This window comes from Homo sapiens, chromosome 6 (genome assembly GCF_000001405.40).
Source record: "Homo sapiens chromosome 6, GRCh38.p14 Primary Assembly".
Taxonomy (NCBI): domain Eukaryota; kingdom Metazoa; phylum Chordata; class Mammalia; order Primates; family Hominidae; genus Homo; species Homo sapiens.
In genome coordinates, this window is record NC_000006.12 from 3,593,126 (window position 1) to 3,617,182 (window position 24,057).

At 43.2% G+C, this 24,057-nt stretch overlaps 1 long non-coding RNA gene across 10 annotated transcripts in view, besides 1 other annotated feature; it reads right to left on the bottom strand.

Moving 5' to 3' along the window:
• Positions 1-364: 364 nt before the first annotated feature.
• Positions 365-24,057, bottom strand: part of LOC100507336 (uncharacterized) — a 126,588-nt gene continuing 102,895 nt past the window's right edge. For 3 of the 10 annotated variants that reach the window (NR_187647.1, NR_187649.1, NR_187646.1), the window contains 2 exons: positions 2,442-2,536; positions 365-1,410 (listed from right to left, as the gene is read on the bottom strand). This is a non-coding gene — a long non-coding RNA (uncharacterized LOC100507336). Of the gene's footprint in view, positions 1,411-2,441; positions 2,537-15,901; positions 15,985-16,254; positions 16,425-24,057 lie in introns of all 10 variants that reach the window. The other 7 variants (NR_187644.1, NR_187648.1, NR_187650.1 and 4 more) reach the window with 4 other exon arrangements.
• Positions 10,102-10,601: an enhancer, noted in NCBI's record as "H3K4me1 hESC enhancer chr6:3603461-3603960 (GRCh37/hg19 assembly coordinates)". NCBI's record gives its function as "activates a minimal SCP1, AML or CMV promoter by ChIP-STARR-seq in naive H9 embryonic stem cells {active_cell/tissue: H9 hESC(naive)}" and the evidence as "EXISTENCE:reporter gene assay evidence [ECO:0000049][PMID:30033119]".

Consider the following 24,057-nt stretch of genomic DNA (forward strand, 5'->3'; position numbering starts at 1 on the left):
CTCTCCCCCCCGCACCCCATTAATCGTATCTTGCTGGAAGGGGCTGCAAAGCGGTGCTTAGGGAAACCTCTATTTCCACCGATAACCCTTTCCCTCAAAAATACATACTCCTTATTTTGCTGATGATGAAAACCAAGTTTCAGGTTGTTGAAGAGATTTGCCTTAGATTTCCTCTTGAGAAGACAGTAGACGGGAAATAAATCCAGCCGGAAACCCATTCAACTAACCAACACTGCCTCTTTGCATGTTTGTGCATGTAGGTAAATACATCCGTAGATTTATTTAAAGCATGTGTAAAAGCTAAGGCATATTACCTGTAGCGGTTGGTATTCTTGTAACACATTATAACACAAGGCAGCCAGAATTATTTTAATGCCATTTAATTCAAAACAAAATTGTTTAATAGGTGATTCAGTTTTATTAGGCTGATTAGCAATAATTTGCAAAAACTGTTTAAACAAGTCATGGAAAATAAAATGAAAATTTAATTAGCACCAGTGTCAAGGGTAAAAAAGCAATTAATATTAAACACTAATGTGAAGATACTGTTCTTTTGTTTTTAATTATTCAATACCACACTGAGCAGATTTTGATTATTTTTTCTTTCTGAGAAAATAAAAGGCTTTTAAAATTATACTTAATATTAGCTGTACTAACTATAAATGGTGAAACCAAAAGACTTATTTTTATTGTCAGGAAATCTAATAGTACTACTAAGAGGTCACGTAGCAATTTTAAATTTTTAAAATATTTGGCAACAGAAATCACCTGAAACTTAAAATAACCGTATGCCTTTCAGAGCTCTTTGACTTTGGAGTTTAACAAAGGGATAATCGAAACAAACCATTAATTTTCCAGAGTGGTGAAGGACAGTTATGTTGGAACATGGGCTTTTCAAGCTCGGGTGTTTTCTCGCATGGTGTTATTAGCAGAATTTAAAGAGAAGGTGCAGCCTACAGATTAAAGAACAGGCTCAAGAGACCTGATGCTTCCTTTCTCACATGTGGAACCTTTGTTGCACTCGCTGAACAGGTTTCTCAATGTGCAGCCCACAGACCATTAAAACCAGAACCTTCTAGACAGGTTGAGAATTCAGATTCTTGACCTATAGAGCGACTGAAGGGCCAGGGAATATTCATTTTAAAAGCCACTTACGGTGCTTCTCATCCATTCTGGAGTGTAAGAACCCCAGTCACAGAGGCATACTTGCTCAAAATGTCACAGGAAACCCATAGTGAGATGTAGCAACAGCTGGAGGAGGCAGAGTCATGGTTTTAGGCAGACATTGCAGAACACCTGATGTATATTCTGGATTGATCCAATGCTCAGTCTTGGGTGTGGGTACAGTTCAGCAATCTGCAGTATTAGGTAATTGCTTTTAAAGATTTCTCTGCAGTGCAATTTCTCCATCTGGAAACAAAAGCCATGCACATAAGTATCACAATTCAGACCCTGAGGCCCTCAGATAAAACACACCATGCAGTCACTGAGGACTGTGCTATCATCACACGCACCAAACCTAGAGAAAACCTCCAACAGACTCGCTCACTCACCAAATGGCCCGGTCAACAAATTTGGGTGGATAGGCCCTGTGGAGGTTCAGGAAGATTCAGCAGTAAGACATTTTTCTTCTCCTCTTTTTTTCCCCCTTATACTAACTGAAAAACTACTTAATTAAATCCGACTTAGTATTCACTAAGAGCTTAGCACTTAATTCAAATGCTTCATTTATCTTAGGAAGCAATAGCCAATAATAATAATAATGACAGCTCACATTGCTTGCATACTGGACACTGTGCGAAGTATTTTACTTACATCGTCTGTATCATCTTCACAACCCCATGGGGAAGGTGTCCTAATTAACTATATTTTGCAGATAAGGAAATGGAGGCTTGAGAAGTTACATATCACGGTCACAGATTTTGTAAGACGCAGAACCACGGCTGGACCCCACGCCTGTCTGACCTCACAGCTTACCCTCATTGTACTGCCTTTGACACAACTAAGAATGAAGTGGCTTGCCAGGTGCTGTGGGATTCCATTTGTAAAAATATGTTTTCATTTAACACATGTTTACAGAGAATCTGCTATGTGCATGTGGGGCAAAGCCCAATAAATAAATTCGGTTATTGAACCGAATGGGACTGAATTACAGTTCAAAAATCCAGAAATCCGTCGAACATGAAGCCCTGTCCTTCAGGCACAGCCCGGCCACAAGCCAGGATAGAAAGAGGAACTATAACTGTACTTAAGTGACTGTCCTCCAAGGCTGAAACATGCCACAGAAATTTGACAAATCGATAAGCTATGAAGGTCTGGTAGAGTGAGAAGGTAAGTCTGACCCTCGAACTGTGCTTGACACTATGACAAATACAAGATGATCTGTTGGAAACATTGGCATAAACTACTTAAATATCTAACCGTAGAGGATAATTAGATACCTTGCTGTTATGAATCCATAACTGTATATTCGCCAACTATGAAAAATAATGCTACATCGGAAAACAAGGTCTATTGGTGTGGAAAGATGTATATCCTGTGAGAGTGAGAAACAAAAAACAGACAAAGTGAAAAATCAGGTGACAATAGAGGATGTACACAATGTATACATTATCTTAATTTTGGAAAATCACAGATATAGATAAAGGCACATATGTCATGCATATATGTATATATGTGCATAAAAGACGAGGTTCATATGTGTTTGCAGGCATATGAAAGGCACATATTATGTGCATGTGTTTGTGTGACTATGAAAGGCACATGTGGTATGCATATGTGTTTGTGTGTATATGAAAAACACACATAATGTATGCATACACTTGTATCATAAGAGATATATCTGCATACATATATGTGTGTACGCATGCGGAAGACAATGTATATATTTTTATATAGGACACGTATGATGTGCATATATATGTTTGCATGCTCATGAAGACAAATGATTTACTCATACATTTGTGTGGCATATGGAGCACACATATAATGTGCAGGTATGTTTATATGCATATATCATTTCTGGGTGATTGGAATTGTAGCTGTTTGATATGGTTCATTTGCTTGTCTATATTTTCTGATGTTACTGTAATGTGCATGTAATTTCTTTTGCACCAAGAAGTAAACATATACAAAACTTCATTTGCAGAAGCACCCCAAATTTAATGGGCTCAATACCTTCCATGGTTGGGGACATGAATTTGGTTTTAAAAGAGAATTAGGCAAGCCATTACTGTGCAATGGCTAAAACATTGAAGAGCAGGGACATAGGAATTTTTTTTTAATTGAATCTTCTTCTGAAAAAAAAAATTGATTTATTGTGAATAAATGGACGTATTTGTTTAGGGGATGTTGGATTTAAAAGTTTAGGAGAACTTTAAGTATGGCATTAGAAAGAGGGTTTTTGGCTACCCAAACACTTCATCCATTTTCACAGAGGCCTTTTATAAGGGTCTGAGATGACAAGGAAGTTCCCATCCTCAAGGTGGGGAGAGGGCACTCATAGATGGAATGTTATTGTCTGCATGATGTCGAGTTTCTGTTTTAATTCAGCTGTTCAGCATTCCACGTGTCTGGTTAATTTTAGCTCTTATCTTTGCCAGGATTTTATGTCTGTCTCTCGAAGAAAGTTGCCTAAATTTAATAAAACTTGCTTTATTGCCAAATGATACCCATGTGCGTCTTAAAGTCAGTTGAGGTGAATCTTAAAACAATTGGCTGGCTGATCCCAGCGTTCAAAGGCATCTACCTTTTATCATTTTTAATAGAGTTCAATGCCACTTACATGCAGGGGCTATAAATATGAATAATTTCACTGAGCGAGATTTACAGTTTCCAGGAAAGATGACTAAACATAATTAGGAAAAAAAAGAGAAGGAGAACGCCTGATGGAGAGCAGTGGTAAGACTGCCTGTTCCCTTTTCATTTTCTTGTGCTCTTTGATAAGGATGTCCTGGTGGACACATTTCTCCTATTGTGGCTATACGCCAGTGTCCCATGGCCTGTGAGATGCTATAATGGCTCCGAGGCTCAGGAGCTTCCTGAATGCAACCATGCCCAAAACAGCATCTGTGATGTAGAATTTACAGGTCTTAGACAGAGAAATAGTTACACAGTAAAATTGAATCTCTGGAATAGCAAGGTGTTTAATAGCAAGATTGTACTGCATTTTCTTACATTTTCTGGTTGCCAGACAAATGGGAGAATCCCAAAAATAGGGCACCCTAACATCACCTACACCTTGAAGCTGAGCATTGGAGAGATTTGCTTTCTCGATAAAAGGAACATATCCCCAAATGTAACAATGACCTCTTACAGCAACCACTTTCCCAGAAATTGTCCTTACCTCCAGGAGCCAGGAATGGAGAAAGAAAAGCTCCTGGGGGCAGAGCATCAGTGGCAGATCAATCACTTATCTTGTCTTCTTCTGAGGCAGAGGCTACCCTGGAGCAGCTACACAGCGTAATTGAACCTCTGGTTCAACTGAACTGACAACTGTATAGGACTTGAGCTTTCTATTGAGCTGAGCATTGCCTGGGAAGGAAGGTAAGGTAAAGAGCATGGGATGGAGCCAGCTACAGTTTCCAGGGCCCAACTAGGGAGAGCTTTCAATCCCCATGGAGACTTGAGGGAGAAAAGACAGAAGTCAAGCCAAGTCAACATAAACCATGAACTTAGTACACAAAGGCTAGTGGGATGGGATATTAATGGTTTCTATGACAAATAAAGGCGGTCCTTTACAGCTCTTGGTAACTATACAAAAAGCTACAATTTCTTGAGTGTTTGACCCTGTGTGAGGCACTGTGCTAAACACACTAAACATATCACCCTATGGGAAAGTCGTTATTATCCTCATTTTGAGATGAGTACACTGGGGCTCAGAGAAGCCACCTAAGTTGCTCTGGGTCACCCAATTGGCAAATGGTAAAGCCGGGATTCACCTCTGTCTGTCTGACTTAAAAGTTCATGTTTGTAAACATGCTGTTGTAAGAAGACTTGAACATTTTATTATTGATACATAATATTTGTACATATTTTATAGGCACATGATATTTTGATACGTAGAATGGATAAGGATCAATTTGGGGTATTTAGGGTATCCATCACCTCAAGTATTTATAATTTCTATATATTGGGAATATTTCAATTCCTCTTTTCTAGCTATTTTGGAATAGACAAAACATTGTTGTTAACTATAGTCACCCTACTCTGCCATTGATTGTTAGATCTTATTCCTTCGATCTAACTGTATGTTTGTACCCATTAACCAACGTCTCTCCATTCCCCTTTCATTCCTACCAATACGATGCTTTTTTGGTTACTTTAGCCTTACAATATATTTTAAAAGTTGAGAGTGTGATGTTTCCAGCTTTGTTCTTTTTGCTCAGGATTTTGCTTTGGCTATTTAAACTGTCTTTGGTTCCATGCAAATTTTAGGATTTTTTTTTCTATTTCTATAAAAAATGACATTGGTATTTTGATGGGGATTGAATTAAATCTGCAGATTGCTTTGGGTAGTATGGTAATTTTAACAATATTAATTCTTTCAATCCATGAACATGGGATGTTTTCCATTTGTTAGTTTCTTCTTCAATTTTTTTCTTCAGTGTTTTGTAGTTTTCCTTACAGAGGTCTTTCACCTCCTTTGTTGAATTTATTCTTAGGTATTTGTGTGTGTGTGTGTGACGATTGCAAATGGGATTGCTTTCTTGATTTCTTTCTCAGATTGTTCATTATTGGTATATAGAAATGCTACTGATTTTTGTATGTTGATTTTGTATCCTGCACCTTCTCTGAATTTATTTATCAGATCTAAGGGTTTTTTGTTTGTTTTTTTTTTTCCTTTTTTGGGCAGAGCCTTTAGGTTTTTCTAGATATAAAATCATGTCTTCCGCAAAGAGGAAAAATTTGACTTCCTCTTTTCCAGTTCGGACACCTTTTATTTCTTTCTCTTGCCTGATTGCTTTGCCTAGAACTTCCAGTACTATGTTGAACAAGAGTGGTGAAAGTGGGCATTTTTGTCTTGTTCCGGTTCTTAGAGGAAAGGCTTTCAGATTTTCCCCACTCAGTATGATGTTAGCTATGAGTTTGTCACATATACCCTTTATTATTTTGAGGTATGTTCCTTCAATGCCTAGTTTGTTGGGAGTTTTGATCATGAAGGGATGTTGAATTTTATCAAATGCTTTTTCTGCAACTGTTGAAATGATCATATGGTTTTTGTCCTTTATTCTGTTGATATGATGTATTACATTTATTGATTTACATATGTTAAACCATCTTTGCATCCCTGAGATAAACCATCTTTGCATCCCTTGGTATTTTAATAGGGATTGCATTAAATCTGTAGATTGCTTTGGGTAGTATGGTCACTTGATCATGGTGTATTATCTTTTTGATGTGCTGTTGGATTTGGTTTGCTAGTATTTTTTTGGAGGATTTTTGTATCTATGTTCATCAAGGATATTGGCCTGTAGTTTTTGTTTTTGGTTGCATTCTTGTCTGGTTTTGGTATCAGTAATGCTGGCCTTTTAGAATGAGTTAAGGAGAATTCCCTCCTCTTTAACTTTTTGAGATGTTTGAGAATTGGTTTTATTTGTTCTTTGTAAGTTTGCTAGAATTTGGCAGTGAACCATCTGGTCATGGACTTTTCTTTGTTAGGAGACCTTTTATTACTGATTCAATCTCATTTCTCATTATTGATCTATTCGGGTTCTCTATTTTTTCCTGATTCAATCTTGGTGGGTTGTATGTATCTAGGAATTTATTCACTTCTTCTAGGTTTTCTAGTTTATTAGCATACAGTTATAATAGTCGCTGATGATCTTTTGTATTTCTGTGTTATCAGTTGTAATTTTTTCTTTTTTTGTTTCTGATTTTGTTTATTTGGGTCTTTTTTTTTTGTTAGTCTAGCTAGTATAACTTTTTGTTTCATTGATCCTTTATATTTTTAAAGTCTATTTTGTTTAGTTCTGCTCTGAACTTTATTATTTCTTTCCTTCTACTAATTGTGGGTATGATTTGTTCTTGCTTTTCTAATTCATTGCGGGGCACTATTAGATTGTTTATTTGAAATCTTTTTACTTTTTTGATGTAGGTGTTTATTGTTATAAAATTCCCTCATAGCACTGCTTTTTCTGTAATCCATAGGTTTTGGTATGTTGTGTGGTTTTTTTATTATTAATATTTTGTTTTTAGAGAGAGGATCTCACTTTATCATCCAAGTTAGAGTGCAGTTTTGTGATCATAGCTCACTGCAGCCTCCAACTCCTGGGCTCAAGTGATCCTCCAATCTCAGCCTCCCAAATAGCTGGGACCACACAGGCACCCACCACACCTGGCCAATTTAGAAACTTTTATTTTTAAGAGACAGGACCTTGCTATGTTGCTCAGACTGGTCTCAAACTCCTGGCTTCATGCAACCCTCCCCACCTCAGCCTCTTGAGTAGCTAGAATCATGCACATGAGCCAAGCTACCATGCCTGTCTTGGTATGTTGTATTTTGACTCTCATTTGTTTCAAAAAATTTTTCAACTTCCTCCTTAATTTCTTCTTTGACCCAATGGTCATTCAGAAGAATGCTGTTTAATTTCCTGTATTTGCAGTTTCCAAAGCTTCTCTTTTTATTGATTTCTAGTTTTATTCCATTGTGATCCAAAAAGATATTTGATATAATTTTGATTCCATGTGCTGATGAGAGGAATGTGTATTCTGTAGCTGTTGAATGAAATGTTCTGTAAATGTCTGTTAGGTCAATTTTGCCTAAGATATTCTAAATTCAATGTTTCTTTGTGAATTTTCTGTCTAGATGATCTGTCTAATGCTGAGAATGGGGTATTGAAGTCCCTAACTATTATTGTATTAGAGTCCATCTCTCCCGTTAGATCTAATAATATTTGCTTTATATATCTGGGTGCTCCAATTATGGATGCATATATATTTAGATATGTTATATCCTTTTGCTGAATTGATCTATTTATCATTATATAATGAACCTTTTGGGTCACTTTTTATTGTTTTTGACTTAAAGTCTGTTTTATCTGATATAAGTATAGTTACTCCTGCTTGCTTTTGGCTTTCATTTGCATAGAGTAACTTTTTCCATCTTTTTACTTTCCGTCTATATGTGTCTTTATAGGTGAGGTCAGTTTCTTTTAGAAAGCATATAATTGGGTCATTTTAAAAAACCCATTCAGCCAGTCTATATCTTTTAAGTGGAAACCTTAGGCTGTTTACATTCAAGGTTACTGTTGATATGTGAGGACTTATACCTGTTAATTAATTGATCATTTCCTGGTTGTTTGTATATCCTTTGTTCCTTTATTTCTGCCTTATTATTTATCATTGTGATTTGATGGTTTTCTCTCGTGGTAACATTAGGGTCCTTCTTTTCCTTAGTTCTGTGTTCATTCTACCCAATGGGTTTTATTTATACTTTTATGTCTTTTCATGATGGTAGATATTATCTTTTCATTTCCAGGTATAGGACGACCTTAAGCATTTCTTATAGACCCAGTCTAATGATGATGAATTTTCTCAGCTTTTGCTTGTCTGGGGAGGACTTTATTTTTCCTTCATTTATGAAGGATAACTTTACTGGGTATAGTATCCTTGGCTGGCAGTTTTTTTCTTTCAGCACTTTAAATGTATCGGCCCATTCTCTCTTGGTCTGTAAGGTTTCTGAGGAGAAATCCGCTGTTAGTCTGATGAAGTTTTCTTATAAGTGACATTTTTCTCTTGTGGGTTTTAGAATTCTGTCTTTGACTTTTGACAGTTTGACTATAATGAAGAAGATCTTTTTGAATTAAATCTCTTTGGAAATCTCTGAGCTTCCTGCCTCTGTGTGTCTAGATCTTTTGCTAGACTTGGGAAGTTTTAACCTATTGTTTCATTAAATAGGTTTTCTATCCCTTCAGTTTTCTCTTTGCCTTCTGGAATATCAAAACTTAAAATATTTGGTTGCTTTATGGTGTCCCATATATCTTGGAGGCTTTGTTCATTCTCTTTTATTTTTTTCTTTATTTTTGTCTGACTGGGTTATTTCAAAAACCTGACTTCAAATTCTGAGATTCTTTCTTCTGCTTGATCTAGTTCCTTGTTCAAGCTCTTGAATGTATTTTTTATTTCATTCAATGAATTATTAGGTTCCAAGATTTCTGTTTAGTTCTTTTTAATTATATCTATTTCTTTTTAGGGAAATTCTTATTCATATCCTGAATTGTTTCTCTGATTTCTTTGTATTGTTTAATCTGTATTCTTTTGCATCTCACTGAGTTTCTTTAATATCACTATTTTGAATTTTTTCTCTGGCATTTCATTTTTTTTCCATTGGCATCTGTTGTTGAAGAATTATTGTGTTCCTCTGGAGGTGTCATATTTCCTTGCTTTTAATGTTTCTTGTGTCCTTATGTTGATTATCTGTGCATCTGGTGTAACAGTTGCTTCTTCTGATTTTTTGGATTTACTTTCACAGGGAAGGACATTTTTTCTGAAGATATAGCTATGGTGTTGATTGGGTAGGGCACTCTGGCCTTGATTCTAGATGCATGCAGTAGTGTAGTCTCTGTATGAGTTCTTCAGTTGTAAACAGTGTCAGTGGTGTCTGTGATTTCCTTAGTGGCTTAGAGTGTGGCTGTTAATGGAGGCTGTGGGGAAGTTTTGCTGGGGACAGGGGCAACAGGTGGGCCAGTCCTCAGGCTCTAGTGGTGGCAGCAGTGGGCCAAGAGCATGCCTGTTCTTGGGCCCCAGAGCAGTTTATGCTGGTCCTGGGGTTAGTGATTCCAGGCAGGCTGATTCTTGGGCCTCCAGGAGGCTTGCTCAGGTGCTGGAAGGGGCAGTGGTAGTCCAGTTGGGGAGGGGCTCAGGTTCCTAGGCAGCAGGCATGGCAGGGGCAATGACGGCAGCAGCAGCCAGATCATCCTCTAGCTTCCATCCTATCCATGCTGGTGTTGGTGGTGGCTGCAATGGCCTGGGTGGGCTAGTCCCCAGGTGACATGTGTGTGTGGGTGTGACAGCTGTGGGGGTAGTGGCAGGTTGGGTGAGCCCATCCTCAGGCCCTTAGGAGGAGTTTCAGGTGCCAATGATGGTGGATGGAGCAGAGCAATTCATATGCCCCCACACAGCACACTTGGGCCCTGGGAGGTGAGAGTTGGGCTGGGTGGACCTGTCCTCAGGATCCCTGGTGGTGCATGCGTATGCTGGCTGTGGTGAGTAGGGGTGGGCTGATCCCTGGGCCCTGGAAAAATGCTCAGGTACAGGGGCAGCAGCAGCCACACTGCAGCTCTGCTGCTGGGGAGAGTGGGGTTGCTTTCAATAGTAGCAGTCGTAGGCAGATGGCTGGGAAGTGTGCACTTCGGTTCCAGGTGGCGGCTGTGGGTGGCAGAGCCTGACCTTAGGGTGCTTGTAAGTGCACAGTGGCCCCTTTGCTGGGGATGGTGGAGTCACTCCCAGTGGCTCATGCTTTAGTTCTGGTGGCAGCAAACAGCAGCAGCAGCAGCTGCGGATGGGGGATGTCACTGGGACTCCAGGGATGCGGAGATGCAGGGGTGGTTGGGACCCAGAACAGGATGTGGTCTGGTGGGGGCTGGGCTCTCAAAATGGCACTGTGCTGTAGCTGCTTAGGTCTGGGGGTGATGTAAGCCCCCTCTCTGGAGCAATGCTGTCATGCCATCTCAAGACAGCTCCCTGTTTTAGTCTCAGGGCTCATGAGAGTCAAGAATCTCTCCCATGGCTGGAATTGCAGATGTCCATGGTGGGAATGTGGACTGCTGAGGGTCACCCACTTACCCTTTCTGTGCACTAGGAGGCCTCTCTGGGCTCCCAGCCAAGTAGGCTGCCTTGCCTCCCTCTCCTTCCTTGCCTTAGGTGTTTCCTGTCACTTCTCTATGGAATTCCAGCATTCTCTCTCAGATGATCTATCCAAAGTGTGATTATCAACTTACTATTTTGGTTTTTCTTGGTGGAGGAGGTGAGTACCAGATGCCTCTGGTCAACCATCTTGAAGCATTTGACTCAAGCACTTTTGAAGTCAAGTGAAATCTGTTCAATTGAAAAGAATCTCTATAAGCACAGACACCCTCTGGGCCCCGTGAGAAACATGCTGCTTCACAGACTGAGCTTTGGCACTTTATGCCAGGTATGCAGCTCAGCTTTCATTCTTCTCTGTTTCTCTTGAAGTTTGTAAAGAAGTTGCAATAGTTAATTTTATGTGTCAACTTGGCTATGGTGTCCAGCTGTTTGGGCAGATGTCAGTCTAGATGTTGCTGAGAAAGTATTTTTTAGATGAGATAAACATTTGGATCAGTAGATTTTGAGTAAAGCAGATTACCCTACATTATGTGGGTGAGCCTCATCCAATCAGCTGGAGTTCCTATTAAAGCAAAGACTGAGGTTTCCCAAAGAAGGTATTTGAACTAAAAGACTGCAGCGTAGAAACTCTTCCTGGGTTTCCAGCCTGCCTGGCCCGCCCCTCAGAATTCAGACTTAAGACTGCAGCATTAATTCTTCCCTTCATTTCCAGCCTGTTGGCTTGCCCTGTGAATATTGGACTTAACAGCCCCCACAAATGTGTGAGCCAACATCTGAAAGTAAATCTGTGCTTACACATAAATCTCCTATTGCTTCTGTTTCTCTGGAGAGCCTTGACTAATACAGTAGCAAAGAAGACACAAGGGGACTCTCTTTAAAAGGTCTTTCTTTAACAATGAGGAAAAGCACATAGGGAAAGAGTTGGGTATATTTAACCATTTGCTGTTGGTGTCAATATGCAAAATCTCATGTACAGTCAAGGCTCCCTCTGCCCATTCTCATCATTGCTCTGTTCCAATGTGCTTACAAGACACACTCCACCTTCCAGCAACCACATCTCCCAGCTGCAGGTGTTCCCTGTGTGGCAGGATACTTCATGCATATCAACATGTGGGTTGTTTGCTGCGTGCTCCCCTCTCCTCCTCTTCCAAGCTGGAAGACAGGTCTTTAGAGGTCCCCTGCCTGAAAGCAGAAACCTTTTGATCATCTGGGTATTTATAAAAGCTTTTAGTTCCTGAAAGGTGAGCCTGGAGACAAGGCATCTTTGGATGTACAAGGGACAGGAGAGGGTCTCCCTGCCAACCAGTGCAAAGGGACGCAGCTGTGCGGGTCCTGCAAGCAGGGGGCTGGCACCTGCCTTCTGCCTGTCCTTCACTATTCCTGCCCAGAGGCTGGACTCTGGCATCAAGAGTCTGGACCTGAGCAAGGAGCTCAGACCACATAGGCCTGGGAAAGCAGAGGCCCTACAGTGAGTGGGAACCGGCAGAGAGGCTGCAGGCCTGTTGGGGGTCACCAGAAAGGATGGGATGGAAGGCAAGAGCCTGCTGATTCTTGTTACTGCAGAAGACCCCAAGGCCTCTCATAATCCTAAGGATAATGAGCACGAAAGTCCAAGCAGATGACAGGGTTGGGCTCAGAGTCAGAGTGGGATTGGAATCAACTTAAGGAGCATATGTAAATATAGCTATAGATACCCACACACATTTATACGTGCATATGACATTATATTTGCATACAGGCATACACATGTATAATAGATAATATTTCTGGCATAGACTAAGGTTTTTACCTACTATACTGGCAAGGATGATGGGGAACAGAGAAACAAGGTTATGGAAGTATGACTGGGCTGCTTTTAACTTAATTTTCTTTTGATTTGTCTATATTTAAAAATTTAAAAATTTTCCTAAAACACATATTATTTTGCGATATAATTCATCTTTTTAAACACTTATGTTTTTAAGTATTATGTTACACATGGAAAAGCCTGATAGTATAAATTTAGAAAAAGGAATGAAATTCAAAGTGGCATATATAGTGTAAAAACTTCCTTTAAGTAAAATAAAAATACCTTCATGCAAAACAGACAAAAATACCCATATAACCATTTATAGAGAAAAGATTGGAAGGAAAGAGATTAAAATGATGTTACTAGTGATCATCTTTAGAACTATTTTTTCCTCTTCTCTACTTTTCTGAAATTTCAGAATGTTTCCTGAGCACACATTACTTTTTCAGAAGCAGAACTTTGCAAGGAATTCAGCCACTTTAACAGATCCTAGGTAAAATACTGCTTCGCAAATACATGTTTTAAAATTTTGCTTCTCTGGCCAAGCGTTTTCTGTTTGGATTGGAAGTCCTTGAAAAGTGCAGAAATTGCAGTTTCTACCTGATCTTTCCTAAATAAAAATTTAGTAAGTAGAAATCCTTTTTAAGGCCCTTCCTTCTCCCCCAACGCACATCCCCCAAATACGCACAAACTATCTCCCCGCCACACACACCCCATCACCACTATCACCACCACCATCACACACAGACACACACACACACACACACACACACACACACACGCCACACAGCCTGCCCCAAACTAGGTGGGGGCGCTGAGGGCAGGGGGATTCCTGTGATCTTTGCAGGGCAAGGTTAAACCTCTAGGGTTACTGAGCAGAAAGTTTAATTCAGAAAAGAAGTCTGGGCCATGAATGACCACAGGTGGGTCCTGCAGTTCATAATGCTCTAGAGCCAGCAGTCCCTAAAGAGGTACCAGGTGAGATAAGGCAGGGATTCCCAGGGCCCTTGAGGTGGCGAGGTGAGCCATCTCATGGACTGTCTTCACCCACCTCCGCAGTGTGCATGACACGTGCCACCAGTTTCTATGTGTGCTGTGACTGGAAAAGGCAGAGATGCCCTCCTTTGTCATCTGAAATGAAAATTTCAGCACTCCCCTTCCCTCCTCCTCTGCTGTTCTGTCTGGGTGCTGGCTTCAGTTCCTGAGGTTGGCGGGGGGAGCGGGGCTGTGCAGATTCCCATGGTCTTTTGTGGCCAGCAGGGCTCTGGCCCCCTAAGGCTTTTCTATCCCAGTGACTGGTGCTGTGGACACCTCACCTTGGGTTTGTCCTGGAAAAGCCAAGCGAGAGTGAGTTGGTGCTGCTGACTCTTTTGGGCTCACTTACCACTCAAGCTGACACTCCTTTCAGGTGCTCTTCATTTCTCCCTGCAGAGCCGGGCTCCCGCCTCATGGTTTCCTTGAGCCCAGTGAATGAACTTTAGCATTCCTTGCTGTGCAGCCATCAGCCATGTAAGCTGTGTGAGATTTCTCTATGCTGGCTCTTTGTATCACTGGGAATTTCTCTTTGACCTCCATCCAGTTCCACCCTCATCTTTCCATTCCTTAGTATATCTCCCTCCGTCCCGCAGCTGTGCCTTTATTTAGCCTTTGGAAGTTGGCTGCAGGGTGAAGGCTTACAGGGTCTCAGAAGGATTTCTCTCAGCTGTCCTGCTTTGTCTCTAGCATCCAGTGGGCAGTTGCCTTATAATTGAGGCCAGCTTCACAGGTGTGTGACCCGTACAGTTGCACAGGGTTTTACTCTCAGAACAGCCTGGCGCTTGGTTTCATGCTCTGCTGGAGCTGTCCTGAAACTCTTCATAATTTTATCTTCAAACCTGTGTTTTATAAAGGAGGTCTGATGGGCAGTAGGACATGTATGCTGGGCCGCTGCATGCACACAATGAGCTCAGACCTGCAGTCCTGGGAGGCAGCCCAGGCGTGGAGCAATTGGTCCAGCCAGTTGTGTAGGTGCATGCCTTGGGGCTACCTTGGGACCCTGTTGCTGCCACCATTGACATTTTCTGGGCCTAGGTTCCAGCTGGGCCACCATGGGCCCCTGCGGTGCACCTATACCGCTGGCTGAGCAATTGGTCCAGCCAGGTGTGTAGGTGCACCGCAAGGACCCAAGGTGGCCAGGCCAGAACGTAGGCCCAGACAATGGCAATGGTGGCAGCAACAGCATCGGTGGCGGCAGCAGAGGTGGTGGTCATGGCTTTGGGAGAAAGGAGGGGCTCTGCACAGCAGCAACACTGGGACCTGAGGTGGGAGTCTGGCCTGTGTGTTGATCCTCAGTCCTGTACCGGTGGCATCTGCACAGATACCAACTCCCTGGTCTGAAAGCCAGCACACAAACAGCCAGCACTCAGGCAGTAAACTTTGTCAGTGAAGTATAAAATGAAAGCACACTCGTGGACATTGCAATCAAGCATGTCAAGAAGTTAATTCGGCAACTTCCGCCCAGGACCATGTCCAGCTGGGCAACTCGGACATAAACCAAACACTAATGCAGAGGGTGAGTGCCCTCCCAGCGTGGCTTCGGCAACTTCCGCCCAGGACCATGTCCAGCTGGGCAACTGCGACATAAACCAAACATTAATGCGGAGGGTGAGTGCCCTCCCAGTGTGGCTTAAATGCAAAGCCTGTAAGCTTCCCCAGCAGGCTCTGCCCTCATCTGCTTTCCCCACCTGATCCCTCCCCCAAACCCTCCCTGCTTTCCAGCTATACAGTGTGCCACAGGTTTTTTTGACAGTTCTTCCACTACACAGGCTTCGAGCTTTTTAATTCTCACTTGGTTACCCCTGGCATACAGGAAATTGTGGGAAATTGTCCTCCATCCTCCACATTGAGACCTCTCATAGCAGGCTGTGTTGTGGGGTGTGAAAAGAGCATAGACATGGGCCAGAGAAAAGAAGGCAGTCGCTTGATGAAAAAAACCTTAAACAAACCAGAAGTTCACGTGCCCGAGACTGGCCCAGTTATCCTTCCACTCACACTAAAGCAGGGAGTGGGACGCCCCTCTACCCACATGTCCCTCCTCACTCCCTTGTTTTCTGCTCTAAATTCACCCTTACTAGTTATTTTAGCCTATTGGAAGGGTTGGTACTAGAAGAGGGAGGAAGGGCACAGATATCTGGCAAAATCCTACTCATCCTCCAAGAACCAGCTGGGACGCCACCCCTCTTGATTCCAGCTAGACATCCCTATACTGTCGGATCCTATACTGTGATCCCACAGCACCTAGTGCCTTCCTTAGTTCCTGATGCTCACCATGCCTGTGCCAGGATGGGAACCTTCTACAGTGTTCAAAGAGGAGCTTCACTGCTTACAGCCATTCCCCTTCTCTCTCCTGTCTGAGAAGAAAATGGATCCAACTTTTAGTCACTTAGCTTGGATGTTTTCTTGTTCCTGGGAAGGAACAGGAGGAGAGAAGGGAGACTTTGCTGGAAGTTAAAAAAAGATTTATGTGGATAAGAAAAAAAATGTTTTGGAAAAAAAAAGAATAAAACATGTTCAGAAAAGTGGATTTTTAAAAACAGTTTGATAGAAGATTAAGACAATGGTGGAAAGATGTTAGTGGAAGACATATGGAAGTAATAGAGAAAATAGTCAAAATATGGCACCTTTTTGAGTGGGGGTCAAGCCCCCAACCAGCTGCATGGCCTGGTCCACCCATCCTAGGCCCCAGGCCCTGGGCTGTTCCTCTGGGCTACTCCTGTGATGAGATCACAGAAAACTTCTCCAGAGGATTCTCTTGCCCCATTGGTGCTCTGGCGCCAATGCAGCTGAACACCTGCGGGAGGCACAAGGTGAAAGATGGGTCATTCCTGGGCCTCTTGCTGAGCCCTTTCCCTAGGCAGGCCTCTCACACTGCCTGCATCCAGGCACCAAGCTGGGTAGTGCTTCTCTCTGGGAAGGAGGAAGGGGAGATAGTTCACTCACCAGCAGCCAACGAATTTTCCAGCTACCAACAAACAGAATCTATTTCTGTTCATGCCTTGAGATACTGCTTGGTTCCTACTGATGAAACACATGCAGGCAACCCCCTGCAATGCTCTGTAACATCCCTAAGCCCGTCAAAAGGTAGGGTCTTGGGGTCATGGTGGTTGGAGGATTTAACCTGAATTGCTGAGATGGGCAACAGCACTCCCGTTACCTGTGGTTTGTCCTTCAGGGGCAGGGCTTGTGGGTTCTGTCTGTATATCTCCAGCACCCAACACGATATGTGAAATAGCAGGTGCTCTATTGTGAGAACAGAAGAGAGGGAGGAAGCAAAGGTTTGGAAGGAAATTTAGGACCTGAGAAAAAAGGGAAGCATTGTTCTGGGCATGACACCCACAGGGATAGCTGTGTTCTTGCTTCTTTCTAATGAGTAGCTCTTCCTTTAGAGCACAAATGCAGTCAGGGAAACAGCAAACCTGCGCTCCCTGCTCCCATCAGATGCATTTCCTTCTGGCTTCCCCCAGTGCAATGACGAGGGAAGACATTCTCCTCCTCCCATGGTGTTCTGGCAGATTAAGCTGAATAGCTCCATGTGGGTATTAAGTACAGGTTCTAACATCATTTAATTCCACTTCCTTTTGACTGAAACAAGTTCCCAGCTCATACTCGCCCTTATCCCTTGAGGCAGCAAAGCAAGTCATAAATAATCACGGTAATAATGCCATGTAAACACTTTCACTGGGAAGATGGAGGCGCTGGTTTTGAATCTCCAGGATACAGAAGATTATATACAAGTGATGATTCATATTTGCCTCAGCCCCAACAGGAGAAACTCCTTCGCCTGCTCCCCCTACCATGGAGGCCTTGCAGAGTGGGAGAGCTGGTTTTCCAAACACTGTCTTAAAGAGAGAGCATCCATTTGTTTCCTGAAGTTAAAACAGTTCTCTTTGGGAACAGTTTGATTCAGTCTTGATTCTCCCTCTTCATCATGAGATGCCTTAAAAAATTCTTCCTACTATTAGACAATTTTTTTTTTTTTGGAGATGGAGTCTCACTCTGTCGCCCAGGCTGGAGTGCAGTGGCGCGATCTTGGCTCACTGCAAGCTCTGCCTCCCGGGTTCACGCCATTCTCCTGCCTCTATTAGACAATTTATTCTGTGAGGACAGGGATCATGTCGGTCTGTTCAGCATTAAATCCCCAATACCAGCCATGCAGCAGGTGATCAGGAAAGAAGAAATCTTGAATGTTGTTAAGTTCTGATAAAACAAACCAAAACAAGGAGCAGAGACTGACCTAGTGATTGAGTGAAAGAGGTTAAGGCTCAAACTCACAGGACTGAGAACAGAACCTTCCCCACCTCTCTGAGTCCAAGCTGCCTCTCCCAGAGCTTCAGAGCCCTCCTTGCACAAGCCCGTCCCGCAGCTGACATTCGAGACACTTGTTTTTTTCATGTCTAGAATATGATAAGACAGGCATCAGAGGCAATTAGAATCAAGACGAGGAGAGTGTTCTAGGCAATAAGGACAGCCCATAAGACACTAAATAATGATTCTTTGCACTTCCATGGCACCTTTCGTCTGAGGATTTCAACGTGGATTTTAATTTTAATCACATTTCCACGATGAGGCTTCTTATTAGAGATGGAGAACTAGACCTTTGCACCTGGTGCTATACAGACACTTCACACTCAACATATTCCCAACAAAAGTCATGATCTTTTCCCCACACCTCTTCCCTTCTCTGTGTTCTCCTTCTTGGCAAAGGGCACCCTCATCCACCAGGTCCTCAGGGCTGATACCTAGACGCCATTCTAGCCTTCCAGCTCTCTCTCCCCTCCCTTACTGAGGAAAATTGTCCACTATGTCCCACCTCCCAAATGCTTCCCAGGTTCCTCTTGAGTCCAGCCCCCAACCCTGGTCCTTGGATATTTTCCTAAAGGGCAAATCCCATAATGCTGATTCCTGTCTTAAAATCCTTCAAAAGTTCTCTATTGTGAATAAATTCAAACCCTTTATTGCACCATGCAAGTCTTTTCATGACTGGTCTCTGCCTATCTCATTTTTTTATACTTTTTTTTTTTAAGACTGAGTCTCATTTGGTTGCACAGGCTGGAGTGCAGTGGCACAATCTCGGCTCACTGCAACCTCTGCCTCCCGGGTTCAAGCGATTCTCCTGCCTCAGCCTCCTGAGTAGCGGGGACTACAGGCATGCACCACCACGCCCAGCTGATTTTTTTGTATTTTTTGTAGAAATAGGGTTTCGCCATGTTGGCCAGGCTGGTCTCGAACTCCTGACCTCATGATCTGCCCGTCTCAGCCTCCCAAAGCGCTGGGATTACAGGCGTGAGCCACTGCACCCGGCCTCTCATTTTCATCTGCTGCCACCTCATCCCTCAGCTGTTCTCCCACAGCACCCACGTGCGTGTGTGCGCACACATTTACACACTTGCACATACACACCTATGCCACAAGGTGCAGGCCTGCAGTTCCCTAAACTCCCCATACTGTTTCAAGCCTCCATGCCTTTCTACCTATTATTATTCCCCACTTATTTTCCCCATGGAAAACTGCTGCCCATCTTGTAGGACACAGCTCAAGTGAAATTTCCTCTACAAAGCCTCCTATCTCACTAGGAAAAATGGGTCATTTTCTTTTGCACCACCCACATAATGTGAGCTTGTTTCATTTCTACTGCTCACCATGCTGTGTGGCAATGGTTGAGTTACAGCCACAGCCTCATTAGACGGACGCATTCTTTGAGAGCAAGTCATATTCATCTTTATATCCCCAGCACCTAGTGCAATTCTTGGCATACAGCAGGGGCTCCATCGGTGTCTAATGAACTTTTCAACAAATCAGTGAGTCCCTTCCAAAGCTGAGCCAAAGGGAGATTAAACACCTCCCTCCAAGGACAGAGACAAATGGATGGATTGCAGCCAAGAGTAATAAATTATAGCCTGAGTTTAGCCTATCCAGCCACTTATTGAAAGATGAAAATCTGTTCTTTATGTAACTTCAAACCAACACCTGCAGGAGTGATAGCTGAAAGAACTTGTACCAAACCGGATAACAATGTTTCAAAATGCTGGTGGAGGAGGGGAAAGTGTCAGGACAACCTTGTGAATCACTGGGTCTCACAGTATCTTTTGACAAAGGAAGATGCCAAAATATTTACAAACCCGTAAGTTATGCTCTAGTCTCGCAACCAGCAACTTGTAAAAATAGATGACTCATCCACAGGGAAGCTTAATGGCATGGACTGAATTCATCACCTGCTGGGCCAGAGCGATGAGCAGTAATGGCAGATTTTATGAAGAGGCAGTTTGGAGGGCGAGTGGCCTGCTGGTAAGTAACAGAGGCAGAAAATCGGGGAATAAGGATGTTGTTCATTGTATTTGTTGACAGGCAAACAGGGCAGAATAAGAAGCTTCTTTGACTCTCGAATTTTAGCACTAGAAGAAATAGTGAGGATTATATATTTCAGAAGTTCTCACCCAGGATATCAGAACACATTCAGAGTCCTGATCCCAGTTATGAGAAAGGGCCACCTTCGACTACAAATTAGAAATTGCATTTTCTACCAGAACATTAAACGACAAAGGCTGTCTACACTGGGATGTATCAGTGGAAGTGTCTCCAATGTCAACATGGGTCATAGCAGAAGAAACATGGAAAACCACTACATCTTTAGTCCAATTACTTCGTTGTAAGAAGGAACAAGTTAAGGGCCAAATTTAAAGTGACTTATCCAGGAAATAATAGATGCTGGCGAGGCTGTGGAGAAGCAGGAATGCATTTACACTGTTGGTGGGAGTGTAAATTAGTTCAACCAATGTGGAAGACAGTGTGGCGATTCCTTAAGGATCTAGAACCAGAAATACCATTTGACCCAGCAATCCCATTACTGGGTATATACCCAAAGGATGATAAATCTTTCCACTCTAAAGACACATGCACACGTATGTTTATTGCAGTAATACTTACAATAGCAAAGACTTGGAACCAACCCAAATGCCCATCAGTGATAGACTGGATAAAGAAAATGCAGCACATATACACCATGGAATACTATGCAGCTATAAAAAAGAATGAGTTCATGTCCAGGGACATGGATGAAGCTGGAAGCCATCATTCTCAGCAAACTAACACAAGAACAGAAAACCAAACACCACATGTTCTCACTCATAAGTGGGAGTTGAACAATGAGAACACATGGACACAGGGAGGGGAACATCACATACCAGGGCCTGTCAGGGGTTGAGGGGCAAGGGGAGGGAGGGCATTAGGACAAATACCTAATGCATGTGGGGCTTAAAACCTAGATGATGGGTTGACGGGTGCAGCAAACCACCATGGCACATGTATACCTATGTAAGAAACCTGCACGTTCTGCACATGAATCCCGGAACTTAAAGTAAAATTAAAAAATAAAAAATAAAAAAATAACGTGACTTATCTATTGTCACACTCCTCGCAGACCAGGGCTAAGACCAGGACCTCATCTCCTGACTTGTAGCCTCAGGACTCTTTTTGCTTCTCTGGCTGATTTCTGCATTGCTTTTGCCAGCGTTCCACGGCTGTGATATGGACCACCTTGCATTTTAACAACGTTCCAAAACTTTTGCAGGTGGGACGGTAGGAGTTGGAATCTCCAAGTTTCCTTTAGAGCCTAGCTACTTTCTGTGCTACTTTTATAACATTAATTATTAGTTTTTGTGTAATTATTATCATTAGGATAAAAAACTTTAACCTACAGGTATAATATTAATACATCTAAAATAGTGGTTCTCAACTGGGGGTAATTTTCCCACCCCATCTCCCCAGGAACAATTTGTCAATGTGCAGAGACATTTTTGAGGTGTCACAACTCAGGGGGAGAAGTGCTGCTGGCATCTGGTAGTGACCAGGGATCTTGCTGACCATTCTACAGGGCACAGGACAGCCTCACAGCAGAGAAGGATCCAGCCCCAAATGTTAATAGTGCTAATACTGAAAAATCCACTTCTAAAACAAGTGTCAGCTGAGCGTGATAGTGCACACCTGTAAGCCCAGCACTTCGGGAGGCCAGGGCAGGAGGATTGGTTGAGCCTAGGAGTTCAAGATTAGCCTGGGCAGCAAAGGGAGACTCTGTCTCTATAAAAAATTTTTAAAATATCAAAATTTTTAATACTACAAGCACATGCCTGTAGTCCAGGGAGGAATGCTTGAGTTCAGGAGGTGAGGCTACAGTGAGCCGTGATCACACCACTGCACTTTAGCCTGGGCAACAGAGAAAGATTTCGAAGAAAGGGAAGGGGAGGGGAGGGGAGGAGAGGAAGGAAAGGAAGGAAAGAAGGAAGGAAGGAAGGAAAGGAGGGGAGGGGAGGGAAGGGGAGGGGAAGAAAGGAAAGAAAGGAAGAAAGGAAGAAAGAAAGGAAAGAAAGAAACCAAGAAAAAAGAGAGGAAGGAAAGAAAGAAAAAGAAAAAAGAAAAGAAAAGAAAGAAAGAAAAAGACAAGTGCCCTGTACTAAAACAGGACTCTCCTGGGTGGTTCCATTGGCTTAGGAAAGAGCTCCTTCTCTAAATAGACCCAACCTTTCCAGACATATTGTCCAGAGAAAAGTATTTCAGAGAAAGTTTCCTTCGGCATCAATTCTCCCAAGCCGTAAGCTCATTTGGAGGGATGGAGGTAGGTGTGAGGCCAATGGCAGTGCCTGTCTTCAGCAACAAGTCCCCAAATCACAGAAGAACCCAGACCAGCAGGAGAAATTTGAGGAGAGCAGAAGATGAGACTGTGCGTAATTGAAGAAGAAAAACCTCAGAGCCTCCAGAAGGCCCAACTCCTCGCAGGGCCATGGCTTAGAAGGGAAAGGTGAGGATGTGAAAGGGCTGAGACTGCGGTATTTCTTGGTGCAGGCTTTGGTCTGGTGAAAACCATTATTTGACCACATCTTCTCACAGTTGTCCCCGAGGCTGGACAGATGGGGGACTCTGAGAGTCATCCCCAGGATCTACGGTTGTGTTAATGTGGAAGCTGCTGATATATCGTAGGTGGCACTGTACACATTTACTGCCACCTAAAGGGATCCCGTATCATTTTCCCTTTGCCTCTCAGCATTTTTACCCTCAGGATTTGCAATCCCAAAATCAAGGACTGTGGAATTCATTCCCTTGACAGAGCCTATGACAGAGCCCTGCTGGCACACATATTATATGTGTGATAACGATGGTGATGAGGAGGATGAGGAGGATGATGTCGAATAGAAATGCACCTTCTTGAAGGGTTCCTCTCCCACATGAACGCTTATCTTATTTGGTAAGTTCCTTATAATAACAAGTTCCTTATTAGTTTCTACCTGTTCAGGGAGAAGAGAGGTGGAAAATTGCTTGTTGCTCCTTGTCATTTTAACAAGACAGAGTTCCAGGCTTCTTGCCCTTAAACAACCAAAAAGTACATGAGCCTCTTCCTTCAAATGTCAGAATGCCATTTAGCCTGACAGCGTTCTCATTATTATGCACTGAGAGCTTCTCTAACCCAACCTGTCAAAAATTTCTAACAGACAGGAGCCTCATCAACTTGGAGCCAATGTCTCAGTCTTGTGTCAGGGTTTAGAAGCTTTCAGTGAGGTAAGGGGAGAGAGGCCTGCTTGGATGTCCTTTGATACCAGGAGTCCCCTGGGGATTCCTTCCCATCATGTCCTGGAAGAGGAAGAAGCCAGGCTAACGTGGGTGGAAGGTTAGAGAGACACCTTCAAGTGACTGCTTTGGAGATGACCCCAGATCTGCAGTCATTTCAGAGACAGAACAAAGGCAGTCCAGAGAGAGAGCTTCTGGGGGCAGCTGCGACCTCACTGGGATCAACTGGGATTCTGGGGCCAGTTAAGTCCGTTTTCCACGTTGACTCTTCCAGAACCAGAAATGTGCACACTGAACCCACTCCTGCTGAAGAAGACTGCTGTGACTGATGCAGATATGCTAACAGGCACAGGAAAAGGATCCAGGTGACTTTCTTGTTAAAGAAGTGCATGCATTTTCTATCCACCGAAACCCACACAAACAGGTGGCACAAGGGCCCCCTTGGCCAGAGACCAAGTCTCCCTGGGCCTCCAACTTCCATGGAGGCCCCCAAGCTGCCCTTGGTTCCGATGGTGCAAGGAAGCGTCTACCTGTAAGAGCTCTCTTTTGCCACTTCCCAGGAGTTTTAGACCCTTCTGGCCACCCCTGTGCCTTCTAGAATCCCAGGCTAAGCGCCCACCTGTCCACCAGGTGCAGGTAACAGTGACAAACTCAGCATTTGCTGAAGGTCACTGTGAGGCCGTGTGCCTCCAAAGTCCCTCCCTGCTTCCCTCCTGGGTCACACAGGTGCTGTGGCTGTGAAGTCGCAGTTGCGGTAGCAGCGGTGGCAGGATCACTCTCCTTTGGGCAATTCTGGTGAACCTGCAAGCCCAGCCTCTAACTCTGAGACCAAGCAGCTGAGAGTCACCTAAAACCTACAGTCAGAGTCA